This window comes from Homo sapiens, chromosome 11 (assembly GCF_000001405.40).
Source record: "Homo sapiens chromosome 11, GRCh38.p14 Primary Assembly".
Classification (NCBI taxonomy): Eukaryota; Metazoa; Chordata; class Mammalia; order Primates; family Hominidae; genus Homo; species Homo sapiens.
Window position 1 is genome coordinate 117,671,962 of NC_000011.10, and position 14,709 is coordinate 117,686,670.

Genomic DNA, 14,709 nt, shown 5'->3' on the forward strand with positions numbered 1-14,709 from the left:
GCGGTGGCAGGTGCCTGTAGTCCCAGCTACTCGGGAGGGTGAGGCAGGAGAATGGCGTGAACCCGGGAGGCGGAGCTTACAGTGAGCCGAGATCGCGCCACTGCACTCCAGCCTGGGCGACAGAGCGAGACTCCAGCTCAGAAAAAAAAAAAAAAAAAAAAAGAAGAAACCTTGGGCCTCATCCAGGCTGACCCCCTCATTTTGGAGATGAGGAAACCAGAGCTCGGGAGGTTGGATTCTTCCAATGGAGCCAGCAGGTTACTGTGGAAGCAAGGATTACACTCAGGCCTCCTGCCTCCCAGCCCAGTGCCCTTGAACAGAGGGGCAGGCAGTCCCTGTTGTATAATTTGGGGTTGGTATTTGACATCATCGGTGCTTTGCTAGTGGCTTTTTCTTTAGGGGCACCCTCTAGATCTCTAACTGGCCATTTTCCCCCCACTCCCCAAACACATGGCTTTCCTATTAGCAAAGATTCACAAAAATGCTGATGGCTTTATAGATCAGTGCCCTTCTTCTGGCAAAGTCGAAAAGTGCTCCAAGGATAAGGATTTGCCATCACTCAGGGAATTCAACAAGAGCACCTGTACACGAAACAGTTCCCAGCGACGCAATCACAGCAACTTCAGAATAAGCCCATGGGCATCCAGGGCGAGCCTATGAGTGGGCAACACACATGGCATACGTGTTCCGCTGTTTGTCCAAGGTGTCCCATTTTTTTATTCAATACACATCACTATCATTCTGGGTTCTGTTTGATTCGTCTCCTCTAGTGCTTAAACTGGGTATCACCATGAGCCCAGCATACTTGTTAAACTGATTCAAAGACTCGGGGTATCATACAACACACTTAACAACAGTTCATGCAGGATGAGTGCCTTTTATGCCAAGTAAGGAGACAAATGCCAATTGATTTACCTATGTCTGGAAGTAGGAAGTGGAGGAAGTAAAACATTTGGGTGTGCTGTACTAATACATTTCTGCACTTGTTCCCAAAGTCAAGTGGAAACTCCTCCAGGAAGCCTCCCCAGACCACCTGCCTGGATCTGGGCTCTAAGACGTCTGTGCTCCCCTGTGCTTGCTCATCTCCTCGGGCAATCGGTTTTCATCGCCTGTTTTTGTGGCTCTCTGTGGACAAGCTGTAAACCCAGAGTACCTTCTTCCAGCCGGTCAGCATGACGCCCTTGGCCCTTGCTGCCAGTCTAACTGTGATCAAGAAAGGCAAACACGTTTTTATTACTTGCTTAAGCCAAGTGGAATTAGGTAGGTAAATCTTCTGGGAGGAAAATCAATACATTCCAAAGCCGAATATCAATGATTTCTGAATTATCCTCTGCTTTTCTAAGATCTGTGCTGGTGTTTCTGTTTACGTTAAGCATCTTCCTGAGCCAGCTCCTGGGTGGACTTCTCCAACCAGAAGACAGTCAGCTCCCCAAGCAGGGAATCCTGTCTCCTGCCCATTTCTTCCCATCATGCTTGAGAGAGTGCTTTTCATGGGGGTTTATCCCAAGTGCAGATGGTCTGATGCTCTGCTTTCCTCAAGAGTCTGGCCCCATCCCCATTTTCCCATCCTCTGCCCCCCACCAAACTCCCCATGCCCAGGGAAGCAAATCAGAGAGATGAAGGTTTACTTGACATGTCCTGTGCAGTCACAGGTAATGCCCAAACCTCCTGCTCCCTGTCTAATTGGACCTGCTGCCTGGAAGTCCGATTTAATCAGCCTGTGATCACCACTGGGTTGAGGAGGTGGGGGTGGCTCAGGAAGAGGATGAGGCTCCCAGGCCTGGGCTCACGCTGTTGGTTGGCCCCAGCTGTGCGTGTGCACAATCAGCCTTTATTAACTATTACACTTCATTCCGGACAGCTGCCTGGGGAGAACATTGATTCATTCCCCAACCTTTTAGGCTGCCCTGGAACTCAGCGTTTCCATTTATTTATCTCCTTATTTCTGTGCACACGTGCAGGCTGGAGCTGGCCTGGGAAGATGGTGCTAAGAAATGGATTCAATTAGAAGCGCATGTCCCACATTCTTTCCTCAGACGTCCACCTTTTCTCGAGGCTCATTCCTGTGGTGGGTTTCCCTCGATCCCCGCACCTTGCATGCCTTCGGTAGATTCTCCACTGGAGGAAGCAAGTGCAGCACTTATATCCAAAGCAACTTACGTTGCCGGTACTAGTTTAGATCCTCTCGGCTGTATTTAGCATATTTTCATAAGAATGCTGGTTCTGTCCTATTTTCTCATGACCTGAGCCCTGGTGTGTGCCTGGCAGGTGCTGTGGATAGCACCTGGGACATAGCTGGTGCTCCTTTCTGGCTTTCCAGCCAGGCCTGTCTCCAGACTGGGGGATCCTAGGTGGACACTGGGGTGGAGTCACTACTGAAGGTAGGAAGTTTTGGGTTCTTTGGACGGGGGAAGCTGAAGCAGTACCCACGTTCTACAGCAAGGTAAGGGAGTTCTAGGTAGAGGCATTTCTGAAGGGCCAGAAGGAACTGCCATGATCCTCTCAGTGGATGGGGTCATCCCAAATGGCATGGGTACCACGTCCTCATGATTGGGGCCATGCATACCAGGTGCCAAGCCCTCTCACTGGATATTGATGGGATATTTGTCAAGGTAGTATCCCCGCAAGGTACCCCACCCAGATATCCCGCTGCAGATTCAGGATCCCAATCTTCCATGAGGCACCCGACTAAGCACCCCTTTCTTCTGTATGGACTTGCAGAGAGGCAATTCCATCGTGGGAGGGCCGAGTGGTCCAAGCGGAAGAATATCCTCACAAAGCCCTCAGAGAGATGGCCCTTTAAATCTCTGCTTGTGTGTTCAGAGTCTCTCTGCTGCTACCAGCTGGGTGACTTTGGGCAAATCAGATGACCTCTCTGAGTCTGTATTTCTGCATTTGTAGAATGGGGCAAATCCTCCCTGGATGCTTGTCCTATAGGGATCCTAAGAACCACATGGAATGATCTGGGTGGGGTATAGATTTGTGCAAGGTAAAATATCTTATCAGGCAGAGAGTGGCGTGCTTAAGAGAGCAGATGCCAGAACCCGCTGCCTGGGCTCAAATCCTGGCTGTGCTGCTGCCTAGCTGTGTGACCTTGGGCAAGTTATCGCCCATTCTGTTTCCCATTTGTAAAAAGAAGATAGTAATAGCAACTCCTCCACAAGCATGTGATGAAGATGTATGAGTTAACATATGTGAAGAACTTAGAACACTGTGTGTTAGCGTTTATAATTCTACTCAGGGATAGTCTATTTCATTAATGTGTTGTTTTAAACACACACACACAGACAATACCATGGCTCGGAACATTTTCAAACATACCACAAAATATCAGGGTTATGCTTCCAAGCCTGCCAGCCAGGATCTCGCTCTGTTGCTCAGGCTGGAATGCTGTGGTGTGATCATGGCTCACTGCAGCCTCAAACTCCTGGGCTCAAGCGATCTTCCCGCCTCAGCTTCCCAAGTAGCTGGGACAACAGGCGTGTGCCCCTATGCCTGGCTGATTGAAATTTTTTTTTTTTTTTTTTTTTTTTTTTTTAGAGACAGGGTCTCACCATGTTTCCCAGGTTGATCTTAAACTTCTGGCCTCAAGCAATACTCCCACCTCTGGGGACCTGGGGGCTTCCTTTCCTCCAGACCTGGGTCCCAGTCTACAATTAGGCATGTGAGAAGAAACCTGAAATCACTGTAAAGACAGGCCCGGCTGCGTGGTTGGTTTTCTAAGTGCAGGTCCCCCCTTTCCCCCCAGCAAAGGCCAAAACTGGAGCACCTCGGGCATCGTTTCTTGTTGGCGTAAAGGCCGGCTATTGACACCTGCTCTCATCCCTCATCCACCAGCGGCTCTGAAAGTAACCCACAGACTCTCAGCTGGCCACTTCAGCCTCGGTCTTATCAATAATTCCTCCTGGTGAAATGCAAACTGCATCGAATGGCTCCCACTCCTGATTAGGATTCTCTCTCCATACTGAGTGGTCCCCACTCCAGGGCTGGCTTTTTATGAGTTGGGGGCTGGGGATGTGAAGGGGAACTGGGAAGTAGAGGAGGAAATAGCACTTTCGAGCTGCAGTTCTGCTAATGGGTTCCAAACCCACCAGATTCTCTCATAAAAAGTTTATCATGATTGAAACAGTAAAATAGAGCAGAGAGCCAATGAAAGGACTGGCAATATTATCACAAATTGGCAGAAAAAAAATCATTGCTAGTTTTGATTACAAAAAAAAAAAGCAATCATAAGAGAGGAAGGAAGAAGAAAGCCACAGCATCAGATAGCAGAGTTTTTACAATTCGAAGGCAGGGAATGAGGCAGAGATATTAGACATGGTTCTGACATGTTCCAGACCTCTCCTTTATCTTTACAAAAGGGGTAAGGAAAGCGTTTGGACCAGGGCTAGGGAGATTCTTCTGCCATTCAACATCTCAACTGTACTTCAATGCAAGTGGCTCTGGACACCTGTGGGGCATGCGAGTGAGGTCTGGGAGATATCTGGTTTCTCCTCCAGTCGCCTTTCCCTTGTTACCATAGCAGGTCCCAAACCTGCCTCTCCAGCCCTCTTTTTCCCAAAGGGTCCAGGGGGGTTCCATTGCCACAACTGCACAGACGGGGTGCTCCTGGGACCAGTCCTTCCTAACCCCTCAGAAGCTGTCGCACCTCCAGCCCAATCAGCCTCCATCACAGGTGGCCAGGGAGGGCCTAGAGCTGTCTGGATGGACCAGCAGCTGCTCAGCAGATGTCTCCCCCAGCAAGCAGTGTGGGTGGGAGCTTCACTTTACAGGGCCAGGTGGCAGGGCCGCACTCTGCTACCCGATGGGACGGCACTGGGAGCTGCGGGCTCCCAGAGGGCCCAGTGTTATGCCTTTGGGAAACGGGCTTGTAGGTGGGCTAGGAGTGCCACCCAAGCTGCTGTCAATATCCCCACCAGATGTCCATCTCAAAGGGGTGTGGCCGAGCCACGAGAAGGCTAAGTGAAGGAGGGTCCCACCGGGACAGGGGAGGCCGGGTAGAGAGCACTGGGAGGGGAGCCAGGAGGCCCGGAGACCCCTGATCAGTGATGGACTTGGCTCAATCATTTCATCTTGCTGGGTGGTGGTTTCTTCACATCTCCCACAAAGGTTTGAGTAAGTCCAAGTCTTAGGTTTGAATCTCCAAGTCTCCTTTTGGCTCTGATATCCTCAATTTGTGATGATGGCATGTAAAAGAGGACATTTCTCATGGTCTCAGAATTTCTTCAGGAGCCTAAAGCTGAGAATCATAGGCGACAAGGACCTCTAGATTCTAAGAAGAGGTGCTAGACTTCTAAGAAGGGCTTGCCAAGGGCTGGGGTCGGGGGCTGGTTCTGAGCCCCTGAGCCCATCACAGCTCCAGTCTGGGTAAAATAAATAGAATGGGCATCGAATGAGATGGTGGAATGAGGCTCTTTTTGAACAGAGTAGGGCATTCTGTGGGTTCCCTGTGTGTGTCAGAAGAATGGGTCCCATCTGTGGTCCTGTGAGCCCAGGAAAGCCAGGGAGGGAGCAGGGGGCAGGGAGAGGGGAGGGTGCTGAGGAAGTCCTGGGGCGGGAGAATGAGGCATGGGTTCTGTGGCTGCGGGGCAGGGGCTGGTGAGGACCCTGGCTTGTGGGCAGAGGGAGCAGAGAAGGTTCTGGAGGGCTGCAGGACCATGGGGAGCTTCTGCTTACCAAGGGGCAAGTAGACATCATGCAGGGCAGAAGGGACAATAACCATGGCTAACTTCTACTGAGCACTTTCTACGCACCAGGCTCTGTTTGAAGGACAGATATGCTAACAAAACACATTTATTAACCCCATTTTACAGCTAAGGTAACTGAGGCACAGACAGGTGAAGGGACTTGCCCAAGGCTGCCGAGCTACTGAGCATTAGAGGAGGGACACAACCCCAGGCAGCCTTGCTCCAGAGCCCTGATCTTCACCCCTGTGCTGCACCGCGCCTCTGACAGAGCTGTCTCAAAGGACTCCACTCACGAGGACTGCCTGCCGAAGAAAGAGGCTGTGCGGTGTGTCCTAGAACAGAGCTAAGGGGGACTCCGGAGACCAACCAAAAAGGTCATTGCCTGCATGGGGAGCAGTGCAGTGTTAAAGGCCCAGAGAGCTTCCTCCAAATAACTCACAATATCTTCCATGAGAGAGAGGGCGGCTGACAAGCTCGCTCTACCAGCTGCAGCCGCTAAGTACAATGACCCTTTCACCCTCTTCCTCTCATCCCTCCTCCCAGCCTGGAGTCAGCTGGGGAATGGTGAAGCCAGGAGAGATAGCCCCCATTTTTCTCCTGGTGGGTTACCCAGCCTAAGTGAGCCCCAGGCTACAGGGTGGGGTGGCGGGCGGGAGGAGAAGCCTTGATAGATGAGGGTTTGCAGTTTTGATTTAGATTTGTGAACAAGTATTTACTGAGTGTCTACTATGTGCAGAAACTGTTTTAGGACATGAGGATATGGCAAAGAATAAAATGGACAAAATCTTTGCCCTCTTGGAGTTTACAGTGGAGGGGTAAACTAAACAAACAAGAAAATACCTTGTAGGTCAAATGGTGTTAAGTAGTTAGGTACCATGGAAGGGGCGTTGAGCAGGGAAGGTTGGGGGGCAGCTGTATTTGAGAGAGGGTCAGGGAAAGCATTTCCGAAAAGGTGACATTCCTGAGAGTCCTGAAGGTAGTGAGTGAGTGTGCCACATGGGTACCTAGTGGAAGAACACTCCAGGAAGCAGAACGGGGGATAGCAAGTTCCAAGGCCAGGGGCCAGCACAGGTTGGCGTCTTTCAGGACAATGGCATGCGCCAGAAGGCGGATGGGGAGAAGTGGCAGGAGATGAGGACAAAGAGGAGCAGGGCGTAGGGCCAGGCTGAGCAGGGCCTTGTAGGCGAGGACTTTGGCTTCTACTCGGAATGGGGCAACAGCCAAGAGAGGGTTTTGAATAGGATTGTAAAGAGTTTTCAATACTACAGAGTGAGAGAGCAGAAATGCTACTGGATTGTCTGCAAATGAGTGCCAGAGGCAGGTTCAAGCGGAGAACATCTGCAGCCAAAGTGATGGCACACATATGGGGGAGGGGCTCCTCCCAGGCTCAGCGGCCTCATTGCCTTCCGCTGAATGGAAGGCCACTTCAGGTCGGCCTGGGCCAGAGCAGAGGCCAGGGCTCACTGCCACTCCAGAGGCTGACTTTGGGTCTGGCCACTGTGGGACGATGCGTGTTAGGCACGGAGCAGAGGGAGAGCTGAAAGTGGTCTTAGATCCCCTGGGCCCAGCAGGCTTGTGGCTTAACCATAGAGCCTCTCTGCCCTAGAGGCCCAGGCAGAGACCTAGCAGACACCAGGATTCATGAACCAGGCAGCTGGTGCGGCGGTCGGAGCTGCGGCTGTGCAGTCAGCAGCCCTTCCTCCCCAGAGAGGGTCAGGGGAACTTCCAGGAGGAGAGGCACTCAGAAGGCCTGACAGACTGGGTTGCATTCAAAGGAGGCTCCACCAAGGGCTATTTTGAAACTTGGCTGTGATTGCTGGGTGATGGGTGCTTTTTCCAGCCCTTGGTGAGCAGTAATTTCTCTGACAACCTTGGCCATACCCGGTACCCCAGCATAGCCTGCTCATATTCCTAAAGCTGCCAGCTGCTCCACCCTTTCTCAGGTGGTTTCTAGCTCTCCTCCTGGGGGCCCTGGGCCTCTGCCCTACCTCACCTTCACCTTCCCTGCTGTCTAGGCTCAAAGTCTATTCTAATGTAATCCACAAAAAGCCTGCCTGAGTTCCCTTGGATTCCTGGGGAGGCCAGAACAACAGCAGCAGCCTACAAACCCAGCAGGCCGATTTGTTTCAAAGAGGGGAAACTAAGCTTAGCAAACTTTTCCCGTTAGAATGTACATCATGTGCCCACCAGGAAGAGCAGTCCCTCCACAATGATTATAAAGAATTCAGATGTCAGATATGAGACCCTCCTCTCCATGACACAGATGTCCAGGGAGCAGCAAGACTCTTGGGTCATGTTCTGTGATGCCCTGGACTTTGCTGGGTCTTTGCCTGGCCTGAGTCCTAGCTGTTTGGATTCCCATTTCCTTCCACTCTCAGCACCTTTTGTCACCTCTCTGGGCTTTCCTCAGTTGCTTGTCCATCAGTGAAGATAATGCCTTCTCTAAGCTGAAGAGACAGCCCGACCATGAGATCTCTAGAGTTCCAGCCTAGCTCTGCCATCCAGGTTCCTTTCTCTTGCTGTCCTCCTGAGCTAGAATGTGGCAGATTTTTTTCCATCATGCAAATGGGACCCCCAACCAGGAAAACCCAAGTGACTTGTCCCAGTCCACACTGGCAGTAGGAAGCAGAACCCATGCCTTCCAGCCCCCAAGCCTGGTGGTCCTGCTGTGGCCCCTGACCCTCCTGTGGGTGCAGAGCCCCTGTAGCCCTGAGGGACATGGCACAGGGAGTCCCACTCCCCTGCACAAGGTCCCCTCAGATCCTGGCTAGGCCACAGAGCAGAAAGTGTAGGGGTCTTCCCAGAGTGGGGCATGCCAGCTGTGAGAGCTTCTCAGGGATCTGGAAAGCTCTCCAAAGGAAGGCATGGAGGTGCAGCTCCAGGGCTGGGAGGGACTTCTGTGGGGGAGAACTGACTCAGGCTGGGGTCCATGATAAGGCAGCCAGCAGAGCAGCCTTCCCATCATCGCTGTGGCCTGTGCTGGCCAGGCTGCCATGGTGGTTGTCTGCTCCCATTCCTCAGTGGGATCACCAGGGCTTGTAAGGACAGCCTCTCCAGGGCCAGGCTTCCCAAATCCTTCCGCTTTGCCAAGGAAAGATCAAACAGGGTACCTTGGGAGGCTCTGATGGGTCAAGCAGGCTCACGCCCCCTGCCAGGCAGGGTCCGTTCCCCTCCCCTACAAAGGGGCTGGACCTGCAGCAGTGAGAACAGCAGTGACAGCTGCGGTGACAACCCAGGGGAAGAAGATCTGGCCAGCTCTTGAAGCACAGAGCCTGACGAGGTGAAGCCCAAGGGTGGCAAGTTACTCAAAGAGCATGGGGAAGGGGGACTGTCCCAGAGCTGACCACTGAAGAGGGGCCTCTGCTCCCCACATTCCCTCATCCTCCCTCATTCGGACCCTGGATTCTCATCTTGCATTTTCCAGGCTAAATATCCGCCAGCTGTCTGGGTCCCAGGGACACAAAACACGCATCTGCAAACCCACCCTTCTCTCTCCCACCCACGCCCTCCAAGCTCTGTTGACTCCCAGCAAACCCCTTTGTGAACACATGGACCTGGTAGGGTCCAACAAGGCTTTTGGGGCTTGCCACTCACCTAGTGTGGTCCCTGAGCCAGCAGCATCGGCATCACCTGAACCCTCTTTAGAAATGCAGAATCTCCAGCCCCTCCTGGGCCCACAAACTCAAAAAAATCTGCATTTTAACAAGCGCTCTGGGTGATTCTTACGTGCATTCATAAGCATTCCTATGTGCTTTGGGGACATGGCCTGCCCCCTCCTTGAAGGCCCTCTGGCTTGACCACAGGGCAGTGAAGTCCTGTGCAACTGGGAAATGCTTCCCTTTTGCAGGCTATTCCAAGGCAGGCCCCTCTGGACAAGCTGCAGGATTTCAAGTTGGAAAAACAGTCTCTTGACACTCCAGGGCTTTATTGAATTTCCATTTTTAATTTGCAGAGTAGAGATGGCTGCTTGGAGACTGCGTTCTCCTCCATGGCTACCCTGCCTCTCTTCCCAGTTCCAGCATCCTCCTCTCTCCCCACTTAAAAAGGAAACAGAAAACCCACATGGGAATGGCATTAGTGGATACTGCTTCTTTAATTAATTTAATAAATTAATCCTTGGACTTTTTTCTTCACTGTCTCCTTGGAAGTCCCTCCTAAGGCACTGGGCAGAATCACAAACACCCACATCAAATCCTCCAGCCCCCGGGAGTCTCTTCCGTTAATACCACTACAGACTGATAGAATTATTTAAGCTCCTAACTGGTTGCCCTGTCCCAGTCTCTCTCTCCACATCCCCGCTTGGGAACCACAGTGAACTTTCTAAAACACACATTTGATCTTGTCACTCCCGCTTCATTCTTTAGTGTCCTCTTATCACCTACAGAGTGGTTCTCGATGACAGTAAGACCCTACCCCCTTTAGGAAGTTGGGGGCTGTTTATGGTTGTCACAAAGATGCCTGGGTGCCAGCGGTCCTCCTCAGCACCCTGCTGTGTACAGGATGGCCCAGGAGGACAAGGAATTGTCCTCCTCCAATGGCAGCAGCGCTCTGTTCAGCCACACGTGAGATGCAGCTCATCTTCCTTGGGGAGGTGAATGAGGCCACCCGTCTGGCCTCCGCTGCCTGTCCAGCCCTGTCCAGAAACCTCTTCATCACTGCTGCCTTCCCTCCTTCCCACCTGCTCCAGCCATGAACTTGAACCTGAAGACACCCTCCCATGAGCCACTCATTCCCCTCTGCCTGACCGTGCCTCTGTGCTTCTTCCCCTACCTCACCTAGAAGAGTTCCTGCCCATCCTTCTTCCAGATGCCACCTCTCCCATGGCCCATCCAGGAGAGAGGTAAATGAGGCTTTTCTGTATGTCTCTGAATTTCAGTTGAAGCCAAATTCTTGAGGACAATAGGTGAAAAGAACTCCTACATTCTACTGAGAGGTGCTGGCTCCTGCTACACCTGGACATCCTGCACCCTGACTTGACACCCCCTCCAGCCCATGCATAAAGGCTGGAAAAGGATTCTTCCAAGGGAGGGACAGCTGGTAGGTGAAACTTACCCCTCGCTCCCAGCCAAGCCTGGAGAGAATATGTTCCATGTCCCCAAGTCTGGAGGTGACAGAGACAGGTACATGACTCTCTCAGGAAAAACTGTGAAGGCCAGAGGCTGGCTGGAGGGAGGAAGGAAGGGAGAGAACTGCCCTGAGCCTGCTGTCTCCTGGCTCCCATTCTACTGATGAGGAAACTGAGGCCCGAAGAGACCAGGTGACTTGTCCAAGATCACATTGTTATTAAACAGCTGAAAGAGAAATCAGACCCAGATCTGTCCCACTTTACACCATAATGTCCCTCTGCTCCTCCACAGAGGACTTGCCCCTTTCCTGGCCAGTTTCACTCATTCATCCATTCATTCATTCATTCACCTTTAGTTATACCTTCATTCCACCAACCAGGAAGTATTTATTGAACAACCACTGTTATTTATTTGTTTGACTAATTTGTATCTTACCCTGCTCCAATAGGAATTAGAGGCAGCTTATAAAGACACCTGCAGTGTCATAAAATGTGATGGGATGAGGGATGAGGTCTGAAAAGAGGGAGTGCCAACAACTGAGCGATAAGGAAAATAGCACAGAAGACAGAGCACGGTTGGTCCCAGGACGTCCCAGCCTGCATCTTTTCTCTAGGTCAGTGGTAAACTGGACTGCACGCCTCTAAGTTGAAAAGGCTAAGAGCACAAGACCTACTGCGTGTAAAGTGATCTGCTAGTCTCTCTGGAACATGCAGAGGAGAGCCGAGTTCAGTCATCTGCGAGTTTCTCGACATCACTTCAAAGTTTGCAAAGCTCAACGACATGCAGCTCCATATTCGAGTCTCCTTATAACCCTGTAGGAGATGGAAGCTCAGAGAGGTGAGTGACCAACCCAAGGTCACACAGCTGGTGGATAAAAGAGGCCTTCTGCTTCCAGGCTTTTTCCTGTAGAGCAGAGGGGTCGAGCTTGTAGCCTCTCGGGCCAAATGCCTGGGCTCATATAATGGATTCACTACTACTTGAAGGATGTGTGACTTTGGGCAAGTGACTCAACCTCTCTAAGCCTCAGTTTCCTCATATACAATGTGGGAGAAATACAGTACACATTTTTATAAGTGAGCAGTGTCCTTAAAACTCCTGGCTCATAGGCAGTATGGAATAAATGTTAGCTGTCATAATTTTATCACACAGCTGGCTGTCTCCTGTCATCACCCCCACCCAGGGTCCCAATACCTTCTTTCAAGGACACAGAAGGGTGGTACACATAGACACGTATGTGCACAAATGCAGGCAGATATATGTGTGCTGTTGTCATCCTCAAGCCAGGAAGTAGTGATTTTCTTATCAATACCTTGCCTTTCTTTCTCCCTGGAGATGGATAACAAGGAATAAACTCTTAGGAGGATTCTACCTCCCACTACTGCCATTCCAAGCATCAGTCCCTTTCTCCTGACCCATGGATGTACTGACTCACTTCCCAAAGGGTGGAGCCTTCCCAAGTCCCTGTGCCCATGTGCCAATCACAGGGACCCCAGCAGGGTTTGTGCACAGGGAGAGCAAAAGAGGGACAGATCACACGTGATGTTTTGTATGGATCTTTCCCTTCTCCTTCTTTCTCCCCACCTCACCTCCCACCAGTGGCCTCTCCCACTGCCAGCCAGTGCCTTGCTCAGAACCTACCTCTTCCTCCTACACAGAAAGGTATGAAACCCATCAGCGCTTGTTTTTAGCTGGGAACAAACTGTTCACACATTTCATTAACTAAAAAAAAAAAAAAAAAAAAAAAAAGAAAAAAAGAGGAAGAGGGTGTGTGGGGTGAAGACGCTAGGATATCAAAACCATTTAACTCAATTATATACAGAGATGCAGAGTTAGCAAAGAGCAGAGAGAGAGAGAGAGAAGGAGATGACGGAGTTTCATTAAAAAAAGAAAAGACAGATATGGATGGAGGTGGCCCCTCCTGTCTTTGTGCTAGTTCTTCTGTTCTGATGTGTCTGTCTAATGTAAAATGTATTGCTGAATGTTAAACACTTTTAAGCCAAGAATGTAAAATTGAAAGGTGTTTGTGTGTGCTTGAGAACAAATAGAACATGAGGTGTTGAGTGGAGTCTGACCCCTTTCTTCATATATTGCTGGGGCTTTGCCCAGTGCTCAGATCTTTAGCCAAAGGGAGAGACTGGAGTTTGCCTGACTAATTGCTCCACAGAGGGAGGAAGGTTCCAAAGTCCCTTCTTCAAGTAGCCAAAGTGGGCCCCAGTGGAGATGCCAGGGCCGGTCCAGCCGGTGCTCTGAGCCTGTCATGGGAAAACTTGGCAATAGAGGAGGTCTCCTGTTGAGGCCCCTGTCCCAGGAGGCCTGAGGCCCAAGGGCAGAGCTGGACCAGGCCTGGAGAGTAACCAAGGCCTTCCGTGACATCGAGGCACCTAGGGATCTCCCCAGGGCTTCCTTCAGGCCTCTCAACATTCACTGGCATTGGATCACACAGTGGGCGATAGACTTGTGAGGGAAGCTGTAGGAGTCAGGATTTCAGAGCTGGAAGGAATCTCAAAGATCATTTCATCAGGCTCTTTCCTAAGATGAAGCTCAGACAGGCTGTGTGATTTATCCAAGGTCACACAGAAAATTAACGGTCAGAGCTGGAATCCAGGCCTCCTGATTCCCAGAAAGCGGCTATCTTCATGTCTCCACCCTTCCGCTTAATTCCTTACCTCCTCTCCCTACCTCCCCTAGTCAGGTTAGCAGAAAACAGGGTCAGGGTGGAGGCCCAGGCAGGGTCATGGGCAGGGCATGCACAGTTGGGCCCAGGTAGAGTGATGGGGCACATATGCCCCCAGGGGCAGACCTGGGGTCCCAGCACCCCTAGGTAAGAGGGTCTGTGGTGGGATTCAGAGGGGATGGGGTTCCAGCACGGGTGCCTACAAATATTCCAGAAGAACTCAAAGGTTTGCTTTCTACCCCTGGAGCTGTTGTGAGCTCTGAGCTCCCCGGGAGGAGACGGAAAGCACGCGTACCTCTGGGTGACTTCCAGTGGTAGCTCAAACTCTCTGAGCCTTTCCTTATCTGCATACTTACCCTGCCTGGTCCCAGGGGTGTGGCTAGGTAAGCTGCAGGTTGAAAAATGTCTGGGAAGTTGTACAGTCCTGTCATTCGTGAAGGGAGAGGATGACTGCTAGCAGTGGTATGATGACTGTCTAGGGGGCCATGAGAACAGACACTTAGCACCTGCTGCATTTGAGGCTCATTTTTGGAAAGCAGGACCTGGAAAGAGCTTGGGCCCCTGAAGACTGCTATGATCTACAGCCTTGAGGATGGGAGGGAGGGTTCTGATGCTGCATCTGTGCCACTGGACCCAAAGCCAGTAAATGTTGGGACAAGGCTGCAGGGAAGAGAAGGTGAGATCCAGAATTGAGGTACCAGGTTCCCTCCCCACTACAGGAGCCCCAGCTCCTGCCAAAGACCTCCATGGGCTGACATGGTTGAGCCTGACCTTGAACTATGTGGAGAGATGGAGCTGGGAAGGAGTGATAGGGCTGGGTGGATCACCCTTAGCTTAGAGTTTAGTAACTCCAGGGTGTCCCAGTACTGACCTGCTCTCAGCATATGGGCAGAGGTGCGGTCAAGTGCTCATACCGCCCTCTGTTGAGTCTCAGGTGGGATTAGTTCCCAGAGGACAGCACAATGCATGATTGGGTCTGACCCTTCCTTCTGCACAAGTGGTAACTGGGCCTCAGAAAGAAGCAGGCACTGGGCCTGATCCCACCAGTGGCAGAGCCAAGAGCAGGAGCCTTCGCACTGCGGGTCCACAGCTGCCATTGCTCCATCAGCCTCCCCAGCCCTGGTCCCTGCCCTACACTGCAGAGTCCTGGGCACATGCCCCCCGGCACCTGGAGCCTCCTCTCCTTGCAAAGTTCTCTTGGCCTGCTTGTGGCCAATTTGGTCATACTCAGGTGTAAATGACTACGGCACCTTCAAGAGTCCTTTCCGGTGGGCACCTGCAT

The 14,709-nt window shown here is 51.6% G+C and overlaps 1 protein-coding gene across 5 annotated transcripts in view, besides 2 other annotated features; it reads right to left on the bottom strand.

The window, feature by feature from the left end:
* Positions 1 to 14,709, bottom strand: part of DSCAML1 (DS cell adhesion molecule like 1) — a 389,743-nt gene that overhangs the window by 244,190 nt on the left and 130,844 nt on the right. The gene's annotated exons all lie outside the window — the stretch shown is intronic.
* Positions 7,306 to 8,012: an enhancer, noted in NCBI's record as "NANOG-H3K27ac-H3K4me1 hESC enhancer chr11:117549982-117550688 (GRCh37/hg19 assembly coordinates)". NCBI's record gives its function as "activates a minimal SCP1, AML or CMV promoter by ChIP-STARR-seq in naive H9 embryonic stem cells {active_cell/tissue: H9 hESC(naive)}" and the evidence as "EXISTENCE:reporter gene assay evidence [ECO:0000049][PMID:30033119]".
* Positions 8,013 to 8,720: an enhancer, noted in NCBI's record as "NANOG-H3K27ac-H3K4me1 hESC enhancer chr11:117550689-117551396 (GRCh37/hg19 assembly coordinates)". NCBI's record gives its function as "activates a minimal SCP1, AML or CMV promoter by ChIP-STARR-seq in naive H9 embryonic stem cells {active_cell/tissue: H9 hESC(naive)}" and the evidence as "EXISTENCE:reporter gene assay evidence [ECO:0000049][PMID:30033119]".